Raw genomic sequence first — 11,056 nt, 5'->3', positions numbered from 1 at the left:
GCTGGAGTGCAGTGGCATGATCATAGCTCACTGCAACCTCAAACTCCTGGGCTCAAGCAATCCTCCTGCTTCAGCCTCCTGAGTAGCTGGGACCACAGGCACACACCACTACACCCGGCTAATAGTATAAACTATTATTATTATTATTTGAGATGGAGTCTCGCTCTGTCGCCCAGGCTGGAGTGCAATGGCGCGATCTCAGCTCACTGCAACTTCCACCTCCCAGGTTCAAGTGATTCTCCTGTCTCAGCCTCCCGAGTAGCTGGGATTACAGGCACATGCCACCATTCCTGACTAATTTTTTGTATTTTTAGTAGAGACAGGGTTTCCCCATGTTGGCCGGGCTGGTCTCGAACTCCTGACCTCAGGTGATCGACCCACCTCGGCCTCCCAAAGTGCCGGGATTACAGGCATGAGCCACCACGCCTGACCTTAAAATTATTTTAAATTGTGGTACAAAGTATATTACATAAAATATAGCATCTTAACCATTTCTGAGTGTATATTTCAGTAGTGTTAAGTATATTCGCGTAGTTGTACAATCTCCAGAACTTTTTCATCTTGCAAAACTCAAACTCCGTACCCAATAAACAACTCCACATTCCCTCCTCCCCCCAGTCTCTGGGAACCACCTTTATACTTTCTGTCTCTGTGGATCTGACTCCTCTAGGTACCTCACATAAGTGGAATCATGTGATGTTTGTCTTTTTGGAGACTGGTTTATTTTACTTGGCATACTGTCCTCAAGCTTTATCCACGCTGCAGCATCCTTGACAGAATCCCTTTCCTCTTGAAGGCTGAATGTTCCATTGTATGGATGTCCCACATTTTGTTCATCCATGCATCCGTCAATGAACGCCTGGGTTGCTTCTACCTCTGGGCTATTGTGTATGATGCTGCTACGAACATGAGTATGTACACATCTCTTCAAGATCTTGCTTTTGATTTTTAAAAAATCTATCTCCAGAAGTGGAATTGCTCCCACAGAGTATATGCTATTTGAAAGCCTGCTTTATAGCTTGTCTGAGGGTGATGGAGCCCACCCCGTTCCCCAGAGGGAAACAGCCACCAGCTCCAGCCTTGGCATGGGAAATGATTTTCTCTGGGGCCTCCATGGAACAGACAGCTCTTCTCACATTCCCTCAGAGCAGAATAGTTGTCCAAGAAATGTAAAAACATTCAGGAACATTTGAGACACTTCTCTTTGGTTTTTGGTTGTGCTTTGGGGCTAACATTGGCCTGGAAGGTTGTCTAATATTTGGAACGTCTGATGTTTTGGCTGACTCAGGGCCAATGAAACAAAGCTGTGTTGGTGATTTCAAGGCGGCAGCTGCCTCCTCCTTCCCCACTCACCATGGTGCTTGGGGTGAACAGTTTTCCAGCCCAGGTTCAGACTGGTGTAAATACTCAGCCCCTGTGAAATTGACTTGTCTACTGCTCTCTCTCTCTCTCTCTTTCTCTCTCAAAGAAGGAAAGAAAGAAAGACGTTGAATTGTGTGTTGATTTCTAAAAAATCTTCTCTTCCATTTTCTCCTGGACTTTCCATGAGCAGGTAGTGCCCACCTGAATGCCAGCTGAGCGGAGGTGTCAAACAAGATGCAATACAGTCAGGCCAGAAATAGACTTTCCCGTCACGTCTACTCTGCGTGAAGGAGAAGGGTTTATTGCACAATCCTGAGAGTAACAAGAATCCATGAGGGGTCTTCACCAGGAAGGCTGGGGGAGGCTTAAACCAGGGTAGGCAGGTTTCAGGTGTGGGGGTGCAGCCAGGCACTGGGATTTGGGGAGCAGTGCAATAGCTCAGCCTCCGCCCACCTTCCACATCGCCTGGGGCTGTTTAAGAGCCGCCTCCTACTCCTGCAGAGGATTTTGCCCTCGGGTTCTCAAAGATACTGTTCTGTCTCAGACAGGAGTCTGGGAGGAAGGGAGGGGAGGCAGAGTGCGGCTGTGCTGAAAGGCATCTGCCAGTCTCTGGGTTTAACGGAGTGCAAGTGGCAGAGAAGGTGACAGTCAAAGTTGGTTTCTTTCTAATAAGCAGCTATCACTCTGAGAAGACCGAACGCCTGGCAACATTTTTCCCTAGGACTTAGCTTGCTCCTTTCGGTGGCTTCTGTATCAGTTATCAATTGCTACTATAAGGCTGCCTAACAAATATCCACAAAACCTCAGCAGCGCGCAACAATAAGCATTTATTCAGCTTGTGAGCCTATGAGGTTCAGCTCAACTGGCCTGCTCGTGTTTCTGTTCTCATCTGCAGGTCAGCCGAGTGGCTCTGCTGATCACAGGTTGGGGGCTGGCTGGCTGCCGGCTACTCTCTCGGATGGTCTCAGCAGCTCAGCTCTGCTCCACACATCTCATTCTCCTGCTGGCCAGCCCAGGCACATTCTCATGGTGGAGACCAGGAAGCCAAAGACAGAGCAGAAAGGCGCGAGGCCCCTTGAGGCCTAGACTCAGGACTGGCCTCTGTTACTTCCGTCGCATTCTATGGGTGAAAGCCAGCCCAGACTTAAGGGGTGGGAAACAGAGTGGGCCTCTTTAGAGAGGAGAACTGCAAAGTGACAGGCATGGGATGTAGACACAGGGAAGGTTGACGCATGAATGCAATCCGTGCAATTCATACCACAGCTTCTAAGAGGACAGCAAACACCAGGAGTTGGCCAGAGCAAATGATGATAGTGATGACTTAACGATGACGAGCACAGCAGCATCCATCGACTGTTTACTTTGTGTCAGGCAACAACATATTTGCAGACTGGACCAGAGATCACCATAACGTGGTGTGTGCATGACAGGTGCCGGAGCGGGGGATGCAAAGGGTGGGCTGTGGGGCACAGAGCCAGGGATCTGGCCTAGAATCTGACTCCCCCTGAGCTGGCAACATCTCGGCTGCGGCTGCAAGGATGAGTAGGAGGGAGACAGAGGAAGACAGAAGGAGGGTAGAGTGGATTAGGCAAAAGAATCTGCATGGTGACAGGCTGGGGAGAGAGGACGAGACAAAGACAGAGACTGAGACAGAGAGAGACTGTGTCAAGGCAGGAGGCTGGAAAGGCAAAGACCAGGTCGAGAACACTGTTCATGCACATTTGGGAATTTAGATTTCATCCTGAGAGCACTGAGGAGTCACTGGAGGTTTTTTTTTTTTTTGAGACGGAGTCTCGCTCTGTCGCTCAGGCCGGACTGCGGACTGCAGTGGCGCAATCTGGGCTCACTGCAAGCTCCGCTTCCCGGGTTCACGCCATTCTCCTGCCTCAGCCTCCTGAGTAGCTGGGACTACAGGCGCCTGCCACCAAGCCCTGCTAATTTTTTTTTTTATATTTTTAGTAGAAACTGCGTTCACCATGTTACCCAGGATGGTCTCGATCTCCTGACCTCATGATCCACCCGCCTCGGCCTCCCAAAGTGCTGGGATTACAGGCGTGAGCCACCGCGCCCAGCCGTCACTGGAGGTTTTAAGCATTGGAGGGGCACGATCCCATCATCGCATTCGTGTTTTAAAAGAACACCCAGGCCACTGCTGTTGCTGTGTTGAGAACAGATTGGAAGCAGAAGGGAAGCGGGAGCAGAGAGGCCTATTAGGAAGCAGGTGTAGTTGTCCTGGAGAGACAGTATGCTGTAGGTGGCAATGGAGGTGGAGATGGAGAGAAGAGGATGGAATTGATGTTGAGGAGACAGAAGTGGTGATGGGTTGGCGAGCTTGGTGATGGATTGGATACGAGGAAGGAAGGAGAGAGAGATGTCAGGATGATTACAGTGAGCACTGATTGAGCACACTGTGTGCCAAGTGCTGTTCTAAGCATTTTACATATCGCATCTCACCGACTCCTAACCACAACCCCGGGATACAGAAGTACTTCATCCCATCTCCTAGGTTAGGAAACTGAGGCTCAGAGAGAGTAAGTGACTTGCTCATGGTCACACAGCCATTGGTGGTGGAACCAAGCTGTAAACCCAGGAGGCTGACTGTGCAGCCCAGGACCTGAGTCCTTAATCAGTTGTACCTTCCCTTTCTGGCTTTTGGAAGGATGGAGGTGCTATTTATTGAGACAGAAAACCCCAGACGTGGGAGTAGATTAGGGACAAACGTGAGTTTTTGGAGGGTATGTTGGTTTTGAAGCACCTTCTAAGAGTCAAATGTTCAGGTATGGGAAAAGACTAGAAAAGACATTTGCCTTTGACTAATGAACCCAGGAAGGCATCATGCAGAAAGAGGTGATACCAAAACCCCTGGCCATGAAACATAATAAGGAAGGAGATGGGACAAGCAGAGAGCATTCCATGTGGACACAGCCTCCAGGGCAGATATTTTTAAACAGGAGTGCAAGTTGGAATCACTTGGGGATGGAGGAAGCCTTAAAACAAGTACAGCTCTGGGCCAGGTGCCCTGGCTTAAGCCTGTAATCCCAGCACTTTGGGAGGCTGATGTAGGCAGATTGCTTGAGCTCAGGAGTTCAAGACCAGCCTGGGAAACATGGTGACACCCCATCTCTGCCAAAAATACAAAAAATTAGCCAAGCACCGTGGCGTGTGCCTGTGGTCCCAGCTACTCGGAAGAGTGAGGTGGGAGGATTGCTTGAGCCTGGGAGGCAGAGGTTGCAGTGAGCCGAAATTATGCCACTGTACTCTAGCCTAGGTAACAGAGTTAGACTCCATCTCAAAAAAAAAAAAAAAAAAAAGTACAGCTTTGACCTTCAAATCAGAGGCTAGGGGTGGAGCCCAGCCTTCTGTACTCTTTAAAGTTCTCCTAAGCTTTGAAGGCCTCCTCAAGACCCTCCACCCTGGCCAGTCTTCTGCAAAATCAACCTCTTATTTAGCCTGGTCTATCTGCCACTCTCTCAGTTGCCTTTCAGCCATGAGATCAAATTCCAGAGACTAAAAATCCTGGAGTCTGTCCTATAATGGAGGCTGTGTACCCTAAAGCTTGTCCCCAAAGAAATAAACAAGCCAACCCCTCCCTGCAGAGGGAGGGCACATTGACGATGTGATTCTGGAGAGCAAGCAGCCGGCCTTTGAAGGTAACTGAAGCCTTTGATGACTCCACGGTGACACTTGTCTCCGGAAGGTGTCATGCACTTCAAAAGTAGCACATCTCTCCTGCTTCCTGAAAAGAAATTTGTTCTAGAAAATGTCTGGGTATTCACAGCTAGTCAGGGGAGAGACAGAGGGATGGCTTGAGAGCTTGAGTTCTATGGTCAGATGGACCTGGGTTTGAATGCTCAATCTGTCACCATGACGTGTGTGAGTTCTGGCAAGTTATGATTTGATTTCCCCATCTGTAAAATGGCTACGATAATGAACTTCCCTCATAAGCATGGAAAGACTGAATTTGGTGCTGTGTGTTAAGTGCTTAGCCTAGTGCCTGGCCCATAGAGAAAGCTTAATAGCAATACTACTACTATTACTTCTTTTTCTGTTATTTTTTTTTCCTTTTTTTGAGACAGGATCTCACTCTGTTTCCCAGGCAGGAGTGCAGTGGTGCAATCACAGCTCACTGCAGCCTTGACCTCCTGGGCTCAAGAGATTCTCCCACCTCAGTGTCCTGAGTAGCTGGAACTATAGGCACATGTCACCACACCCGACTAATTTTTGTATTTTTTGTGTGTGTGTGTGGAAACAGGATTTCGCCATGTTGCCCACGCTGGTCTCAAACTCGTGGGCTCAAGAAGTCCTCCCACCTCAGCCTCTCAAAGTGTTGGGATTATAGGCGTGAGCCACCACACCCAGCCTATGACTGTTACTTCTAATAATCATTTTTTTTTAATCTACAGTGTGGGAGTTAAGGGCATGAAATCTATAATTGGAATATCCTGGACTTTTATGCTGGTTATGCCTGTCTTATCCGGGCTTCTCTGGAAAGCAGGGCCTGCAGCCACAATCTGCTCCTTGCCTAACACTGGCCATATTTCTGTCCTCTGAACCCTGACTTGGAACCATCTCAGGGTCTTTTTCCTTGCTCTTCCCTCTGCCACGTATGCTCCTCCCATCCCTGAAAGAGTTTGGCAGAGGTTGAATCATGCAGGGCCTTAGAGGTTAGAGAAGGAGTTTAGAGTGTCTCTCAGTTTCAACAGGAGGCTGTGTTCATCAGCCATCTCCACATAATGCTGCCTAACAAGCCACTCAATGGCTTAAAGTGACAATCACTTGTCCTCCCTCATCTTCAGCTTGGATCGGGGTTGTCTACTTTTGCTGGAGCTTGGCTGGGCTTGGCTTGAACTCTAGGTGAGGTCCAGGTGTACTCCACATGTACCCATCCTCTTCCTGGGGCCAGCGGACTGCCCCAGGAATGCCCTTCTTGAGGCAATGGCAGAAGCAGAAGATGGTAACAGGTGATGTCTCTTAAGGTCTAGTCAAAACTGACTCACTGTCCCTTCCACTCCCATGCCATTGGCTAATGTAAGTCGATGGCTGAACCCAGTATCACTGGGACAAGGAAATGGACTCTGCCTCTACTGGAAGAGGGTACAAAGGCATATGGCTGTGGGTGTGGAAGGATTAGGAGCAATAATACAGCCCACTGGAGAAGTCATTGCAGGGCTTTCAACAGTTCAGCAGAGGTTCTCAACAGGGAGCAATTTGGCAATATTTGGAGAGATGTTTGGCTGTTAAGACTGGGGCAGGTGTTGCTGGAATCAAATGTGTAGAGGCCAGGGATGCTGCAAAACATCTTACAATGCACAGAACAGCCCTCCACACAAAGCATTATCTGATCCAAAATGCCAGAGAAACCAATAGAGAGATCTTTAAACGTATGCATCATGGTTGTGTTTCTGGCTGCTGTGCTGAAAGTGGCCCATAAGGGGTGGAGGGAAGAGAGAAGCACGCCATTATTTCTTTACCTCATCTTTGCTCCCCTTCCTCCTCCTTCTCAACTTCCTTCCTCCTCCTTCTCAACTTCCTTCCTCCTCCTCTGATGATGATCACACCTAAAGTAGTGTGATACCCACAGCTCTTTAGCATTGGCCCTGTCTGGTGATCCCAGGAGAGAGACAATGTGATCAACCCTCCCAATACAAACACAAGATAAAAACTAATAGGATAAGACAAGCTTCTTTCCCTTCCCAGTTCCCACATGATGCCTTAAGTACAGAATCTGTCTGCACCACTGTTCTGCACTGATATGCAGTTAGGGTTGCTGATGGGCTCACCATTTGAAATAGAACAAGCCTGTTGAGTGAGTTGGAAGCAAAGTTTGGGGGAAAGAGCCAGAAGCACTTGGGGAAGAGCCACTCCCGAAGCCAAATCCAGAGGTCCAGGGCCATTGTAAGAGATGCAGCTGTGACCTGAACCAAGAGCTGGAGCAGGAGCTGGCCGGGGGCTCATGGGAAGGCCAGAGGGGATTGCCCCAGGCAGGGGCTGGGTGCCTGCTAGAGACGGAGTGGGCCTGGGAGGTTGGGGAGACGGTCAGGCTCTTTCAAATCCCTGAGGTGCTCTGTTTTGGACCGTAAGAACTCACTCCTGGGTAAGTCACTAAAGCCTAGGGTTAGGATGAGGACCAGGGGCCACCACAGAAGCCTCTGCTTTCCATCTGGGAAGTTGTTTCTTCTCCAGAGACCCAAGAACACAATCATTTTTGTTTCTTCCCTGTCATTCAACTTAGGCGACACAAGTCCTCAAGGGGCTGTTCTGTAAGCACAATGACCACAAATATGGATAGTATGCAGTGGTCAAATTCCAATCCATTATCTGTTGGCCTTAAGCAAGTCACATAACCTCCCTGGGCCTCATTATCCTCAACAGAATAATGGAAATACCAATACTGAACTCGAAGGGTTCCAGGGAGGAACAAATGAGCCTGGTGCCTAGAGAGCCCTCCATGAATAGTGAGTGCTCAACTCATTGCCTTTTCTGCTCCTCTACTCTGGCTTTGCCCTCTCTCCCTTTGTCTTCATCCTGCTTTTCCTATTCCCCCTCTCTCTTTTCTCCAAGCCTGTTGGGGCCTTGTGGACATTGCTTGTCTGAAACCAGTATGCAAACTGGTGGCTCCCAAACCTACTCCCTAAAAATGCAAAGTCAAGTCCCATCCCAGACCACTGAGTGGGAATCTGTTGCAGGAGGTCTCCGGAGCGCGCTCTGTAGACAAGCTCCCCAGGTGATTCTGCTATATCTAGTTCAGGTGTGGGCATTAGAGAACCACTAGAGGAGACCTCAGAATCATCCAAGCTGGCGACACCTCTTCCCCGTCTTCCCCAGCATCTCCCCTGAGGCAGTTCCAGCACCCATCTCCAACATCACCTGCCATCTCCCACTCCTCCCATCAGTCCTTCTGGGCTAGGCAAGGAGCCTCCGGGAGAGCTGGCAGCCCCGCCTAGGAAAAAGACAAAGGAAAAGGAAACTGCCACCCACTGCTTCCAGCAGCCTGAGTCACTGCTGGGGGTGGCTCATCTGTCTCACTGGGGAGTAGGAGCCCCTCCCTTTTCAGAGTAGATCCAGAGATCGAGCCCATGCATCTGTCCAAAGGAGAACATGATTTGAAGGAAGAGAAACTTCCCACTGTCACTGTCCCTTAGTCCATCTCCCTGGGTCCCTGGGTGGTTTTTGCTCACAGATGCTGTCGTAGGTTGCCCCAGACCTTGAGGCCTAGGGCCAATCCTACTCCTAGCCAGGAGCATTGTAAGGAGCCCTGGACCAGCTCAGCTGTCCCTTCATCAAGGAAGGCTTGCCCTGACCTTCGACCCAGGTAAGGGGTCTCCTACCTCACCCTATTATCAAGCCATTGTCCAGTTCTCTGTATTGACGATTGGTCCTGCCAAGTCCTCACTCCTAATTGCCTGCACAACATTTAGCTTCCCCCAGAATTTGCTCTTGCCTTTCCTCCCTCTCTATGCATCAACTGGCCACCCCTCAGCCAGTATAAGGGCATCTATTGACTAAACAAACTCCATGAATTAAGCTCTGCTTGATAAGCTTGTGGTGACCCATGAGACTGGGACCACAAAGGGTTTGACCACCACTTTCATGGGCATCAGAAATCTGTGTGAAGCTCCACATTCCCACTTCTCTGAGCTGGTAATGCCAAGTAGGCACATGTAGAACGTTCTCTAGCCTGGTTTCCTCCTTCCAAGAAGATGGGTGGGGTTCCATGTATGACCTGAGGGATTCTGGGAGACATCTGAGAAGCTGGCCCTGGCATCATCAGCACCATGGTCTTCCTAGATACATTACTTTCCATCTTGATCCTTTTAAAAATTATCACAAATTCACCGGCTAAATCAACACAAATTGCTTTTCCTGCAGTTCTAGAAGCCAGAAGTTTGACGTGAGGCTTACGGGCTAACACCAAGGTGTTCACATGACTGGTTTTTTATGGAGGCTCCAGAGCACAGCCTGTTTCCTGACTTTCCTAGCTCCTAGAATCCACTTGTATTCTTTGACTCAGGACCCTTTTTTCATTTTCGAAGCCATCAGCATGGCATCTTCTCTCTCTGATTCTGCCTCTCGTGTTGCATGGCCTTCTTCTCACACTGAATTCTCTATTCTCTTGTGTTCTCTTCCAGGACCCATTGTGACTACACAGAGCCCGCTGGAATAATCCAGGATAATGTCCTCATCCCAAGATCCTTCATGATTCTGCAGAGTCCCTTTTGCCATAAAAGTGACATTTGCAGGTTCTGGGAATTACGACAAGGACATTTTGTGGGGGAGCATATTCAGCCTACCACAGCAAGTGCCATCTATTGAGAAGAAACCATATACCAGCCCCGGTGTGAAGTACTCCTACCCACACCAACTCCTTGCATTTCTCCTAAATAACCCTATAAAGAAGGTCATATTCTTTCCTCCAATTTACACAGAGAGGTTAGGTAACTAATGGAAGGAAGTGGTGAAGCTGGGATTTGAACCCAACTGGCTCTTGGTGATACCAAAACTGTGCTCTTAAAACTAAATGAATCTACCCCTCCTTAGTGCTCCTCTCCTTCCAAGCTGCAGACTTGCAGATTTGGGCATTTCAAGTTGTCTCCTAACTACCCTGCTTCCTTTCCAGAGTGGCAGGGTATGGAGCTACCCTTCCACCCACCAGGAAAGAAGTCACCAAAGGAGACTCGGCAATTTTCTCACCCAAATCCTGCTGCTCCTGAGGAGCCCACCTGGCTCTCCAAGCCGTGCCTCTGCTCCCAGGTCAGCCTTCTCTCATGTGGAGACAAGGCAGACCCTGGGGGAGGTTTCTCAAAGGGGTAGGTGGGAGAGGAAATGTCAGGAGAGGAGACCAGAGCTCTAGAGCACCCAGCCACCTGCAGCCAGGGTGGAGAGACTGACCTCGATTGAGTCTGTCTTATCTCGGGCTGTGCTAACCTCACTCTCCCTTGCATCCTGGGCTCACGAGCTATTTCCGTCTCTGGATCAGATACGAGACCATGATTTATTGATTGTAATAAACATTGCTTAACACGGGCTTTGGCCACACAGCTCACTCACCATTTAAATAAATCCCAGCCCTAGGGGCTGATGGAGCCCTCTGTAATATGGAATGCCAGGTTAGAAGGAAGCCTGATGCTGGGCAGGGGGAGGAGGGGAAACAGGAGCCACGTGGGTGAATAGATGAACTCATTTGCAGCCAGAGAATTAAGGATCATCTGTTCCCCCCAACCCATGCTCCCTTATTACTCTATCAGTTACTCTTTAAGGGGCTCTTGCCGAGATGCTGCTTGTGGGCAGAGGCTGCCAGACCCCAGCACAAGCCACAGTGTTCTCCCCAGTCCCTTTCTGGCATCTCATGGGCATTTTTTTTTTTATTTGAGAGAGCCACAGTCTTTGTGTTATTTCATTTCCTGCTCTGGGGAAATGCAGCTGTCTCGGGATGAAGCATCAGCTCCTTTTTACACTAAAAGAATTTCCAAGCAGGTCAGACAGCCCTCCTCCACCCATTGGGCTTTGGGGGGCTACACTCTGCGGGAAACTGGAGGCGTGTCTGTGTAAGGAGGGATTTCCCTCTGTACTGATGAGAAGATAGGAAGCAGAACATGGGCTGCAAGGATGGGGTAACTTTTTTATGTGCTCAGCTCCAAGCGAAGTGCTCAGGAAACAATGGTTGATGATATTATAGTGATGGTAATGGTGCTGG

The 11,056-nt window shown here is 49.3% G+C and overlaps 1 long non-coding RNA gene across 1 annotated transcript; it reads right to left on the bottom strand.

Moving 5' to 3' along the window:
• Nucleotides 1-699: 699 nt before the first annotated feature.
• Nucleotides 700-9,455, bottom strand: LINC01654 (long intergenic non-protein coding RNA 1654). The gene is made up of 3 exons (NR_125946.1): nucleotides 9,265-9,455; nucleotides 6,834-6,920; nucleotides 700-2,892 (listed from the first exon to the last, which is right to left on the bottom strand). It is a non-coding gene; the product is annotated as a long intergenic non-protein coding RNA 1654 (long non-coding RNA).
• Nucleotides 9,456-11,056: the final 1,601 nt, after the last annotated feature.

Source organism: Homo sapiens, chromosome 1 (assembly GCF_000001405.40).
Source record: "Homo sapiens chromosome 1, GRCh38.p14 Primary Assembly".
NCBI lineage: Eukaryota > Metazoa > Chordata > Mammalia > Primates > Hominidae > Homo > Homo sapiens.
Note: the sequence above shows the minus strand (reverse complement) of the source record. Positions and strands in the feature narration are given on the sequence as shown.